Source organism: Homo sapiens, chromosome 6 (assembly GCF_000001405.40).
Source record: "Homo sapiens chromosome 6, GRCh38.p14 Primary Assembly".
NCBI lineage: Eukaryota > Metazoa > Chordata > Mammalia > Primates > Hominidae > Homo > Homo sapiens.
The window spans coordinates 125,002,020-125,016,927 of NC_000006.12; the positions used below are offsets into that span (position 1 = coordinate 125,002,020).

Genomic DNA, 14,908 nt, shown 5'->3' on the forward strand with positions numbered 1-14,908 from the left:
AGATCTTTAGTTACAGATCTTTTTATGAGCCCCAAACTCCTAATGGATGGTATGCATTGAATTATTTTGGTATTGTTAGAGAGTAAAATACTGGAGAGACTAATAATCTCCAGAATGGCTTACTTTGATGAGCCTAGCCAGGACATCTTTGTCTTGTTGTTAGCTTCTAAATGAAGTGCCTTTCTGTATGGTCTGTTGCTACTGAGTGTGAGGAATCTTGTGTGGCTGCTGAGGAATTTAGCTGCCACTTTCCAGGCACCGGAACAATGTGCCCATTCGTGGATTAAGGAAACCATGACCTCAAGCCTCCTAATCCTCCTCGTCACAAGCTTCATGGTCTTTAACTGGCCCAAGTTACTTTTAATTACTGCCCTACTTCTGCTTCCATTTCTGTATCCAAATGCTGTCGTGCCCCCTGCACGCCCCTATCCCCATCTTCCCTTGAGACTTAGAGAATTGCTTGCTTCTCTATGCTTTGTTTTGGTTTCATTTCCTTATTTACTTCCAACCTGAATACCTTCCTTGACTTTCATCCCCAAAGAATTTTTTTAACCTTATTATCTACGACCACAGCCACCCCGTTTTCCTCTTCTTGCTTTTAATTGTCAGTGTCACGCTGGCCCCGTATGTTCCTGTTTGAAGTCTTGCTAGGTCTCCCTCCTCCTTTCTGCTTTCTGATAGTGTCCGTGTGATTTTCGTGCTGGCTTATCAAACTTCATATCCCTTATATGGAAACTTTTCCCCATTACATTATTTTTGTAACTAAGTACTTACTGTGTATTGTGGAATCTATTTGGTTCTATTATAGCTAGATGAAGGAGAGACTCTTGCAGACTTTATTAGGCAGAGGAGGCTACTTGGTATATTGTAATAGTTCTGGGTCTACAGCATAAGGCAATTATATCATGTAAATCAGAGCAACCAGGATGCTATGGAGTCAGAAAATCTTGTTATTATCCTAATAATGAAAGTATAAAAAATTGGCTGCATATTAAAAGGACTGATTTAGTAATAATAGTGGTAGCCAAAGATTAAATGGCCTACCTTAGTAAGTAGTGAGGCCCTTGTCATTTTAAACACACACGCACACAAACACACACACACACACATACCTATTCACCTTCAGAGTTGTAAGGGAGGCTAAAAATCAGATATATGGGTGAGTAGAAGAGATTTAACATTTGATTTTCAACATAGGATCACAGGATTTAGTGATTAGCAGAATCGAGAGGCTGTATGGTTGTACAATCACTGATAAGATAATGAAGTAAGCATATCATAGTGGAAAATAACACTGGCTCTGGAGTCAGACTGATAGGGATTAAAATCCCAGCACTGCTGGTTTTTGGTATGTGACCTTGGAAAAGTTAGTTAACTTCCTTAAGCCTCAGTGTCTTCATGTTACAATGGTGATACAGTAACTACTACATAATAAATACTCAGAAATTATTAGATAGCAACATCATTATCATCATCGTCATCCAAAGATGATTGTAGGAATAAACTTTAGAGATTCACTGCACAGTATGGTGACTGTAGTTAATTTATATTTTAAAATTGCTGAAAGAGTAGATTTTAAATATTCATAAACATATAAGGTGATGGATTTGTTAATTAGCTTGATTTAATCATTCCACAATATATACCTATATTAAAATATCACATTATACCTTATAAATATGTATATATAATTATTTGTCAATTTTAAAAATACAGGTAGTTATAGCAAAGGAAAAACCCAATGTGATTTTTTTATTGTCTTTATCTATTATCAGAGCTCATACCATAAGAAGCTCATAGCTTCTTATATGCTATGTCTTGTAGTCCTCATAATCTTGTTAGGTACGTGGTTTTGAAGGAGAAATTGAGGTTCAGATACGTTAGGGAAGGCCTATTATGGGAACTCAGAACTAATTGATCAACATCTGTGTTTAAGCTTGTTGTCCAGTAGCCAAATGATGTCAAGTGCTGCAAAAATCTGCACCTAAAACACTTTTTGGATTAGACTTTTTAATTCTAATCTTTCTTTAAATGAGGGGTTACAGTTTTTTTCTTTAAAATTCATCCATCAAATAAGGTTGCCTTTCTTAGAGGCAGCTTTGAAATAAAATCTAAAAGGAAATATTAGACAAATGTTAAATTATATTAAAGAAAACAGGGCTTGCCAGTTATATTTCCCCTTTTGTTGTAGGGCACACATCTAATCCTTACCCTGTTACTGAGTTACAGTTTGATTGTGACCACAAAAGTAATCACAGTCAACAGGAATGGCTGGCACAAGAACAGCTGGCATCAGGTGCAACTTTCTCTCTCCTCCATCCTAGTTAAGTGCCATTACTTATGCCCTTACCCTTGGATTGTACCAGCACTGTCTAGCCAAGATAGTTTTCCTGTGGCTGATGAATCACATGGTAAGAGGGATGAGGGTGGAAGTTGAGGGAAGATAAGCAGAACAGTGAAGATCCTAGCCCTGGGGAGAATAACTGTCTGGCAAATTAAAGATAACGAGAATGACTTTCTTCCCTGCCTAGGAAATTGCCTCCAAAGGTAGGTACAGAAGTGTTCTAAGTTGGGATAGTATCACTGGGAGAAGAACAAGGCTTCTAGTGAAGTGCTGTGAAGGCCTAAGTCTTTTTAAATGATCCTCTGTTTCACTTGTTGTTGAAAGGGAAAGTTAAAATTATAAATGCCTAAATATATGCACAAAGGACAAGAACCACAGCTCGTGTGTAATTCTGGTGTGTTTCTTAGAAAGTCTCACTACTTTATATTAATAATTACACAAACTATACAGGTTTTTTCAGTAGTTGACAAAAGGAAATAAAGGCACTTTCTAAAGGCCTTGTCTTAGTCCATTTTTTGCTGCTATAACAGAATACCACAGACTGGGTAATTTATAAAGAAAAGAGATTGATTTGGCTTATGGTTCTGGAGGATGGGAAGTCCAAGTGTATGGTGCTGGCATCTGGTGAAGACTTTTGTGCTGTGTTATTCCATGATAGAAGGGCAAGCCAGGGTGCCAGGCAGAAAGGGAAAGGGGGCAGAACTCCCAGGATAACAGCATTAATCTGTTCATGAGGGCATAACCCTCGTGACCTAAACACCTCTTAAAGTCCCACCTCATAATGTTGCAATGGCAATTAAATTTCAACATGAGCTTCAGAGGGGATGTTCAAACCATAACAGGCCTGTATGTTAGGTTTATAACTACTATGGAAAGGACTGATGTAAACTCAGCCTCAAACTTGGCGTCTCAGGTCAGTCAGAAAAGTGCCTAAAGCTTCTTCACTCTGAAATATCAGCATATTGAGACATCAAAGGATAAAAAATTCTGTGCAAAATGTTGACTCTGCAACTTAAAGACAAATATGGCTTGCATAACATAAGGGTACAAGGTGAAACTCTTTAATCATGATGAGAAAGCAGAAAGACATTGTATTTTGCAGGCAAGAGAATAAACTTGATCTCTGCAGGAAAGTCATGATAAAAACAGGTATGTTTGGATTGGGTTTTCAGTCATCAACTGGTCATCACTGAAGCTTCCTATAACAGCTCTTTAAAGTTTCCTTTGAAAATCTTTTGAAAGAACTTTTTTCTTAAATCCATACCTTTGAAATCTTGAAGGAGCACTTAATTTTTAAGAATCTTTAAGATATAATGCTAGAAATTCATGTACCATATTACATTCGAAATATGATTTCATGTGGTTATTTATTCTGTTATTAGATAAAACTGTATGCAATAGAAAGCTTTCAAATATAGACTTGTTTAATTAAATATGGTTTTGTATAGAACATAAGGTATTAGAGCATAGTTAGGAATTATGGGAAATTATTATTATTTATACTGGAAATTCAGGCTTGATTTATGTCACACTCTAAGAATAGTATTTAAAATTCAGATAAAAATCATTTATACTGTGCCAGCCTTGAGGAATAGGTCAGAAAAGGTGTTTGTTATAAGAACTTGGTAATGGGCTGTTAATTAATTAAATAGTTTTTGAGGCACGCTGCCAGGCCCAGGAAAGTGCTTTCAAAGTCTGTACTGTTTCCATAGCTCCTGCAAATGATAAGAGGCTTGAGGATACTTCCCAGGAACTCCTGCCTTTTTGGAGGTGACTCTGTCAGTTAAAGTGTGAATGAAGAGTGGAGCATAAAAGTAGAGTATCCCTTTATGTTGGAGATGTTTATGTTGCAATAAATGAAGAAAAATAAGTTATGAACTTTTGACTCGAGTTTCCAAAATTCACATTATAACTGTGATGCAGGAGCTGAGAAATTTCCATTAAAAGAGTTGTTCAATGCAGGTGATTAATAATACTCAACTCCTAACCACAGGGCTATAGAAAAGTTAAAATTGTTTAATCTCACTTTCCTAGCATAGTTACTATTATAATATTATTTTACTTGTACTCATTTTTTCTATTATGTTATATAGTTACAATTATTCCACAGAAATTTACAGCATGCTTTTTTAAACTTAGATTTATTTAACATACATTTTCAAATTTGCTTCATAAACTTCATAATTAATTTCAATGAAAGCATACTATTCTGAGCAAATATATAACAACCTAATAGTCTCCTATCAGTGGACATTAAAAATTATTTCTGAGTTTTGATTTTTACTATTAAAGTTGAATGCATGGGCTGGGTGTGGTGGCTCATGCCTGTAATCCCAGCACTTTGGGAGGCCAAGGTGGGCGGATCACCTGAGGTCAGGAGTTCAAGACCAGCCTGGCCAACATGGTGAAACCCCATCTCTACTAAAAATACAAAAATTAGCCGGGTGTGGTGGTGCGTGCCTGTAATCCCAACTACTCGGGAGGCTGAGGCAGGAGAATCACTTGAACCCAGGAGGCAGAGGTTGCAATGAGCCGAGATCGCGCCATTGCGCTCTAGCCTGGGTGACAAGAGCAAAACTCCATCTCAAAAAAGAAAAAAAGAATGCATGATAGACATCTTTGTGTATATAGCTTTGTCTGTTTTTTATTTGTTCTGTTACAGTAATTATTAAGTATGTAAATAAAGTTCTAGACAATTAATTCTGAGATTTGTTATCCAGTTCACAAATTTTGTCTTCAGCTGTATCTAGTCTATAAATCAACTTGTCAATTGAATTATTTCAATGAATGTGCTTCTTATCTAGAATTGGTATTGTTTACATCATTTTTTCATGCAGCCTTCTTCTTGCCTAATGGTTTCTATTCTTCTTTTTTTCACTTTGAGCATTTTTTTTTTTTTGAGATGGAGTTTCCCTCTTGTTGCCCAGGCTGGTGTGCAGTGGTGCGATCTCGGCTCACCGCAACCTCTGCCTCCTGGGTTCAAGCGACTCTCCTGCCTCAGCCTCCCAAGTAGCTGGGATTATAGGCATGCGCCACCAAGCCCGGCTAATTTTTTGTATTTTGAGTGGAGACAGGTTTTCTCCATGTTGGTCAGGCTGGTCTCAAACTCCCGACCTCAGGTGATCCACCTGCCTCAGCCTCCCAAAGTGCTGGGATTACAGGCATGAGCCACTGCTCCTGGCTGACTTTGAGCATTTTAAACATAGTTATTTTAAAGCATCTTCCCATTTGTTCTGTTTTCTTCAGTGCTTGGGGTGCAGACATCTTTTGTTTGTGGTGACTAATGCTTCTAACATGTTTTCTTGTTCTTAACTGTGGTTTGCACTGTCTTATAGTCATCCTTACTGGGGGGAAACTAATTATTTTCCACAGACATCCCTTATACTTCAGGTTAGAGAACCAGACAGTAGTACCTTTTATGTAGGGGGCATACATTCCAAGACTCCCAGTGGATACCTAAAATCATGGATAGTACTGAACACTATATATACTATTTTTTAATACATATATACCTCTTATAAAGTGTAATTTATAAATCAGGCAGAATAAGAGATCAATAACTACTAATAAAATTTAAAAGTTGTAAAAATATGCTATAATAAAATTTATGTGGCCGGGCCTGGTGGCTCATGCCTGTAATCCCAGCACTTTGGGAGGCCGAGGCGGGTGGATCACGAGGTCAGTAGATCAAGACCATCCCGGCTGACATGGTGAAACCCCGTCTCTACTAAAAATACAAAAAATTAGCTGGGCCTGGTGGCAGGCACCTATAGTCCCAGCTACTTGGGAGGCTGAGGCAGGAGAATGGCGTGAACCCAGGGGGCGGAGCTTGCACTGAGCTGAGATGGAACCACTGCACTCCAGCCTGGGTGACAGAATAAGACTCTGTCTCAAAAAAAAAAAAAGTTATGTGAATGTGGTCTCTCTCAAAATATCTTACAGTAGTACTCTCCTATTTTGGGACCATAGTTGACCACAAGTAAGTGAAATCATGGAAAGCAAAACCATAGATGAAGTGGGACTTCTGTACTTAGAAAGAAGTTAAGCATTAACCAATCCTGGACCTGCCATCCTACCTCTTTTCTGCTCAGGGTCCATGAATCGCATGCATACTGCGAGTTTGAATATCCCAGTCATCAGCACAGTCCAGGCCTTGGTTTCCAACTTCTTGGAGTGATTCTTTCTCCACCCAGTCAAGCTGATGAAAAGTCTTGTGCCCTTGACAAAGTGCTGATTAGTCCTGCAAATGTAGCAGCCTTCCGTGGCTTTGTGCATTCAGGTCAGGTCAAGATTTCCTTGTGACTGTATCATTTCTCATCCTTTGATTGCCCTCAGCCCCAGCTTGTATCTATCTGGTCCTTTCCCAGGGGCTACCTTTTTTTTTTTTTTTTTTAACCCTGTAGGTTTCCTTCTCTTTGTTTCAAGCTTAATTAGGTAGTAAAAATGTTGTGTTTAATACTTTTATGTGTGTGTAGCTGGTGGAGAGATTTTCCTTATCAGCTCAATTCCCCATATTGAACTGAAATCACCAAATTACTTTCCTATGCCACCAGCAACGTGTGAGTATTAGTTTCTCCATACTGACAGTAGCATTGTTATCATAAAATGTGTTTCCCCTGGTTTAATGGTTGAAAATGATATATTATTACATGTAATTTTATACCTCATTACATATAATTTTATATCACTGGTTCATAGAGAACAAGGAAGTAGATAGAATGTGCTTTCCTGAACAGACGTGTTAGAAATGTATGTATAAAGGGATTTGTTCTTTGACCTTTTGCCATTTTTTCTCTTCTCATATTCATAGGTCCATTGCCAGCACTTGAGTAAAGATAAAGAGTAGGAGAATCAAAGCTGTTGTATAATTAGTTCTCTTCTCATCCACACCCATAAACCAGTTCAAGAAAGGGATGAAGGTAAAGTACATAGATGAAGAAGCCACATTTATTTGTGCTGCAGGAGCCCTTGTAATCTCTTCAAAACACCTCCTGTGAAGCCCTCTCACAGACATAGAGCCTGGAAGAGTAGATTTTTTCACTTTCCTTGAGTATAAGTGATTTTCTTTCAGATGGTGCCATCTCTTTCTAGAAAGAATGTAAGAAGGCAGAAAAAAAAAAGAAAAACAGAGACTATTTACCATGAAGAGCTATATCAATGTACTCATTTATTATGATGATAGGATGTTGGTGCCTGGCAGCTGACTATTCTATTGCATTAGAATTATAGGCTCTTTTTTCCTTCCTTTCCCTCCCTTTCTCCCTCCTGCCCTTCCTTCCTTTTCTTTCTATTTTTTTTAACCTCTGTTGTATGATCCCTCTAAAAACGTAGACAGATATCAAAGCTTTGCTCTCCTAACTAGTATCAGAGATAAACTGCTGACAAGCTGCATTCCATCTCCGTGCACATTCGTTGGGAGAACTTTCAGCAAAAACTATTTATATCATCTCAATTTTATTTCCAGTTAACCTGACCCATGTTATATTACACAATCTTTAAAAATGTTCAGATTCCCATATTGCTTCAGCTATTTTAGACTAGTTTCAGAAAATAGTTTTTTGGTTCATGCTTGTCGTTTTCTGTTCCCTTTTGCTAATGTGAATTGAAGACAGCTTAGCATTCTTTTTTTTTTTTTTTTACTAAATCTGAGGGTCAGACAGGTCTTCAGACAGCAGATTTGGCTTCCACAGAGAAAAGGGGAAGAGAAGACTGCAGTTGGCCAGCATCTTCAGGGTGTACTGCCTGTTCTCTGCATTTGATCCATTTCATGTAACTGAAATGAACGTTTTCTTACATTATGCTCGTTCAGTATTTTGCTCTAAAGGAATGAAGATAGTGTTGTTAAGGTGCAGATACTGGGCTGCTCAGTGTGACTGGTAATTATTTCCTCTTAAGAATTGCCAGAGTATAATAATTTACCATGTTTTTGTCTATTTTATTCTCATTTATTAGTGATCAAATATGTTCAATTTTAGTTTCAATTGATTCTTCTCATTATAATGTGCTTTTTAGGTATAATGCATGAAGTGACTTGATGTAAGAAGTTATAATAAGATATCTGCCTTACTGTAATTCTCTTCTAAACAAGCAATTCATGAAATAGCTCAAAGGAGCATTGTGTTTGGCAGATTTGGATGTCTATACCAATTTCCACTTCTTCTGATGCAAACAGTTTCACATTAAATCTCCAGGAAGTTTTGTTTAAATGTGCTTCAGTTTAAACAAGCTTAAGTTTATTTTATGCAATAAAAATAGTTCGTTGTGTTAAAAAAATAGATCTTTACAATTTACTAATAAACTACCTATTCTACTTAATGCTTTAGGCAAAATTTACAGAAAGGGTACTTTTTTGCTTCTTTGTGCCTACTACCCTATTACCCACAGGTTAAACCAAGGACTCTGGGGTTCATGTGCATTTAGTAGTCTCCCTGATGCTGCTGTGCCTGGGTGTAGCAGAGAGAGCTGAGGAATGATCTAAGGTCTGCCAGCTCCAAAGTCCAGCCCTCCCAGGTCTACCACGGTACCTAAAATTCTGCAGTTAAATACTCAAAATTTCAGTTAAGATGTACCTTCAAAAAGACGGGGTTGAATTCAGTTATAACCTGAGAAGGTTGACACACTAAGCCACTAGCATGCCAGACACATTAGCACTGACTCTTTAGATTTCTTACATCACTTTGGAAAGCAATCGTTTTGAAGGTAGTATGGTGGTGGTATAGGGTACCAAGAATGTTAAGAAAAGAAATGGAGCCGTTAAAAGGGAAGGAAGAAGAACTCCAAAGATAAGTTTTTCTTCTTTTAAAGTTTTGTCTAAGGCTGACTCCATAATAATTTTAACCTTTAGGGACAGTAGAAAGCTAAAGACTGAAAGCAAATAAATATTACATGTAATTGGCTCTCACCTCCAATGATATAGGTAATAATAATGGCCATCATTTATTATGTATTTGCTATGTGCCAGGTGCCATCTTCTTTTATTACAGCCTGACAAATTTGGCATTATCATATTCACCTGGAAAATCAGAAACTGAAGGCTCAGCGAGGATAGACAATCACTTATTGGGCCAGATACGTGTTCAATTGGGTTTTAGACCCAGCATGCTCCAATTCCAGAGCCCCCTACTTTGTTCATCTCACCTCATGATTTTCAGTTTCTTGATCTATTATTTTTGCCTTGTTAACAATTTTTAAATATAATTACTTGGAAAAAAATCACTCGGTTAATGTCTGAAAGCATCTACTGACATTAGTGTAGATACATTTTTAATTGGATTAGATCCCATAGTTTTATATGAGAGAGCAAGGAGTGTCAGGTTCTAAAAAAGTCACCTTTAATTTTTTTAAAAATGATTTACTAGGAACCCAGTATTATTTCTTTCATGGAATTTTCCCATCTAGTTCTTTACTTTTCATTGCATTTCACTTTTCTTTTCTTTGCTCATTTTCCTCTGTATCTACTTTGATCAGCTGTGATGTTCAAAGAAACTCTTCTCGGTGAGATAATAACTGCCAGCCCTAGTTTTTGGTGCTGAGTTCTTGACTCTTTCCTCTGTCTTCATATGCATTTTAGTGTGATTTGGAGTCCCCACCAGGAGGGGCTGGCCAGATGCATCTTTAAAATCAAAAGCCACTTTCTACTTTTAAAAGGATACTCATTGAACAAATATATACTGAATCTAATTAAAAGCCTTAGATTAAATGAAAGAGATAGTCAGAGGTAGTTTGATATGTAGTCTCGCAAAAGAAAAAGATACTTAAAAAGAAACAATAAGAAACTACCAAGGAATAAAAAACTATGAAGGAATAGGAAGGAATTGAAGCACTTTAAATGTTTCCAAATATTTAAAATATAGCATATACAATACTAAAAATGAAAGCATTGCTAAGAGCTATCCTGGTAAGCACAACAGAATGACTATGTTTCAGTTTGAACAGCTTATATGACAGAATTTGGATAGTTTTTGCAAATTAACATTTACTGATGAATTTGAGATATGTACAATGGATACTTTAAAGGTACTCCGTCATGTCTACAGTGTGTTTTTATGTATACCCATTTTATATATGCCCACTGAATATACCCATTTTTGGGTAATGGTTCACAATTGTTTATACTACTTTGGATCTTCTGTTTAAAATATATTTGCATGATTATAATTTAACGTGAACCTCATTGATAATGGTGGATTTATAACCAGAATATTTGACATATTCTTAGAAAGCATTAGTTTTGTGTTTTGCAGAAATTTATTCTATGCAGAATTTTCATGAATTTGTTCCTATGTTTTCCTTTGGTGCTCCTTAGCATAATATGGTAGCAGACAGCCTTGGGAGTTAAAGTTATATTTTACTTTTGTAATGTGCAAGTGTCACTAATATTTGAATAAAGTAGATGTGATGCTTTAATTTGATTTGATTTTTGGCTTTGCTAGCAAATCTGTGTTCATCTTTGAATTTCTTATTTATATGCTTATGTTTTGATCACTATATTCCACTTCCTTTTCAAATCCTTATTTCATAACTCCTTAAATTGAAGGTATATTTTCAGAACTTCTAGTAAAATATCTTTGAACAACCCAGTCTTTTTCATGGGTAGTTTTTCAGATATAGAATATTAAATGTTTATTTCCAGAAAGTTAGCATTTCTATCTTGATTCTTCTTCAATGCCCATAAGAAGAAAAGAATTGAAACATACTTGAAATAATTGACATTTAGTTCTGATTTTTTTTCATTGTTTCAGTATGAAACAATATATTCACCTATTCATGTATTATAAACTGTTCATGGTTCTGGGGATATAGCAGTTAACCAAAATGAGTCCCTGTTTTTTGGAGATTATAATTTAGTGAGAAGAAACAGGTAATAAACAAATATACATAACAGGACAGGGGTGATAATGGTTAATATTACCAGAAAAACAAAGCTAACATAAGAGGAAGGGTAGGAATAGGCCAAAAAGAAAGGTAGGTGCTTGCATGTTTTGTGTATGTGTGTGTGTGTGTGTGTGTGTGTGTGTGTGTGTGTGCTGTTTTTGAGAGCATGGTCGTGGAACGGTTCATTGATGAGGGGATGTTCATAAGAGACCTGAATGATGCAAGAAAATGAGTCATGAAACATCTAGAGGGGGAGCTTTCCAGGGAGAAGGTCAAGCAGGTACCACAGCCCTGAGGCCAGAATATGTCTGGGAAAAAAAAAAAAGTAGTCTGAAAGCTTTGGCTGTTTTCTTTTAGTAAAGACTTATAGAGTTCGTATTCAGCTACCATATCTAATTCATGTTAAATAGCACAGTAAAAGAGAAGTATGTGAATTCTGAGAAAATGGATATATAATACCAAGAATACTCCATATATATCAATTACATCCCAGTCATTCATTGTGTCATCTCACTGAGTGGTAACCAGAAAGAGCACAAGATTTTTAGTCTAGCAGATCTATTTCCAAATCCCCATTCTTCTGTCATGTACCTACTGAGTGATGTTTCTAAGGCAAAGGACATGTAACAGCAGCAACAATAAAAGCAGTTCTTATTTATTAATTTATGAAATGTGTTAACATAAATCCTAGAAACATAATGCCCCGCTGACTACATGTGCAAGTTATACTGTCATCCTGTCTCTGTTTATAAAAGAAATTTATTTTATTTAAGATTTTTATTTGTCTGCCTGTTGTTCTCTGAATGGGAACTGACTCTGGATTTCATTCAGGGCTAGTGTGTACACACATACAGAGGATGCTGTTTGCTTAGACAACCTCAGGTAGCACCATTTACATTGTTTTCCCTGGAGTTGGTCAGAATGGATGGTCATTAACTAAATCAAGTGATCCTGGAATAGATTGAAAGCTCTTGCATGCCTTTATCAAAATACCACCATAGAGTAGATGGGAAGAGATTTTGGAAATAGTGATAGCAATCACTCACAGTTATTGAGTTTGTACTGCTCTAAATTCCAGGCTGTACTCTAAATGCCTTGCATGGATTAGCTCACCACAGCCTCGGTACAATTCTGTGAGGTATATGTAGATGAGGAAACTGAATTACAGAGAGAAAAATCAAATTATAATTGATATCAAGCTCTGCTTTCCTCTTATTTAATGTTATCATTAAGTTATTTGGTACAGCTATTGTTCAAACAGTGTATATGCCTTTCTGATGCAGGAAATGAGCTATGAATCCATCTCTGTGATGATTGCATCATCTCACTGTAGCTGGAGTAATCAGCCTCCAGAGATAACTGAATCTTTTAGCCAATTATGGTCAGAAGCAGTTCAAAATCACACACACTAAAACCAAACTTTTCTCATGGGTTAGAGTCTTAACATTCTGATAGTATGAAAACTTCCTTCTCCCAGTGATTCATTCATTTACCTGGGATACAATCTTCCCATGAACTCATTTTTGTGATGAAAGGAAGTTATTTTTAAAAATAAAAATTAATACCATTTAATGTCAAGATATCTCTTTTGTACTTTAGTGTAGTATTGTTAGGGACTCAGTCATGCATGTGCTTGACTGAACTTTTGAGCAAACCCAAAGCCCCTTCCTAATAAACCATGTTGACCCTGCTCAAAATCCTCTTCAGGCCACCTGTACACTGAGATGCACTGGTCCTGTGTTGTGTAAATATATTTAAATATGTGTTTTTATTTTCCCAGAAAGCCAGCAACATTGCCATTTAGCTACTTACTTCATGTCTGAAGTATATAGACTTCCACCTAACACTTAGCAATCACTTAGAAGTTTCATTGATACCAATGTGTATGCTATCTGGTTTTTATCTGAAAGTCACCTAAAATAGTTGATATTCCAGAAAAGAAAGCAAAGGAACATATTATATAGTTTGAAGTCACATCTTCAGAAAGCTATATACCTAAACTCTATTACTTTACACCCCTGTAAAATATATCTTCATTAGATGTATTGATTTTAAAAACATGGCTATATATTGGTTTTGTAAGACATCTTTTTAAAAGTTCGTACTTGTAAAGTCAGCACATTTTATAAGTTTTTCTACGAAAATAATCAGAAATGCCCACAAACAAATACACTAGGATATTAATCACTACAATATAGTAGAGAAAACATGGAAAACTCTAAACGCTGAATGGTAGAGATTAGTTACATAAATAGTAGGATGCCTGTATATGGAGGAACTTTAAGCTATTTTAGAAAAGAAAAGCGGTTATGATCTAATAAACATAAATGCCAAGTTATGATAGTATGTAGAGTATGATCACTATTTTACTTACGTTTTAATATATATACATTATAATTGTATATATATTGGTATTGCTACATCCAGTATATTTTCTCTATTTTCTACATTTTCATATGCTCTGAAAGAAAATAGTAATGTAAAAAGAGACATGACTTCTCAAAACTCAAGAATTTTACTTCTAATTCACACACATATGTAACATGTAAAGGGGCATTCATTGCTGTACTATTTCTAAGAACTAACATTTGGAAACAACTTCAAAGTCCAGCAATTAGAGATTAGATTAATAAAATATGGTATATTCATAGGATAGAATATAATGTAGCATTTCAGCAAAAAAAATTAAATTTTTGTTCACCAGCATAAGTAGATCTTAAAAAATGTGTGAAGAAAGCACAATACAGAGCAGTATGTGTCTACTGTTATGTCAATGGATTCACTGGTACATAAAAATATAAGGAAGCCCACGAATCTAATGACACTGGATACCAACTAGAAGAAGAAATGAGAATATAAGGGGGAAAGGGTCTGGTTAAAAGAGACTTCAATAAATGGATAGATGAAGTCTGTAAGCAAACGTAACAACTTAATAACTGCTAGAGGCATATGGTTCTTTCATTATTCTTTGTACTTTTCCAGGCTTTAAGAAATTTCTCAAAAAATTAAACACCTAATTGTAGGCAAGAAAGTAAAGACAAAATTTAGAGCACTCGAATTTTACCGTGAAGGAGAGAAGAGAAAAACATCAGAAGCTTGAGGGGAATACATTGTCAATAGATTTTTTAAAAAGGTGGGATATACTAAAGCTGTGTTTTGAATTGAGCCATGACTCTTTGATGGTATATGAAATCAATGTAATGGGTCATTATTGACCATTCCATTATTTTAGTCCATTATTTAATGGTCCCTCCATTATTTTTAATGGAATCTGTGCAGAAAAGTATTAACAGGGTTGGGACTGCTGTTTTTAGAAAGTTTTTAGAAAGTTCTCTTTGTAAGTTTTCTTTTAAAGAAAATGTGGCACATAAACACCACGGAATACTGTGCAGCCATAAAAAAAAGGATGAAGCTGGAAACATCATTCTCTGCAAACTAACACAGGAACAGAAAACCAAACACCACCTGTTCTCACTCATAAGTGGGAGCTGAACAATGACAACACGTGGACACAGGGAGGGGAACATCACACACCGGGGCCTGTGAGGGGGTGGGGGGCAAGGGGAGGAATAACATTAGGTAATACCTAATATAGATGATGGGTTGATGGGTGCAGCAAACGGCCATGGCACGCGTATACCTATCCAACAATCCTGCACGTTCTGCACATGTATCACATAAAGCATAATA

At 36.2% G+C, this 14,908-nt stretch overlaps 1 protein-coding gene across 17 annotated transcripts in view; it reads left to right on the top strand.

Annotated features, from left to right (window-relative positions):
* Positions 1 to 14,908, top strand: part of RNF217 (ring finger protein 217) — a 130,198-nt gene that overhangs the window by 39,583 nt on the left and 75,707 nt on the right. For 2 of the 17 annotated variants that reach the window (XM_047418246.1, NM_152553.5), the window contains one exon: positions 7,155 to 7,263. The exons of 11 other annotated variants lie outside the window; for them this stretch is intronic. In XM_047418246.1, coding sequence (XP_047274202.1) covers positions 7,155 to 7,177 — 23 coding nt within the window. In that variant the 3' untranslated portion in view covers positions 7,178 to 7,263. Of the gene's footprint in view, positions 1 to 4,056; positions 5,265 to 6,738; positions 7,264 to 14,908 lie in introns of those variants that run through there. 4 more of the 17 variants (XM_047418244.1, XR_007059212.1, XM_047418243.1 and 1 more) reach the window with 4 other exon arrangements.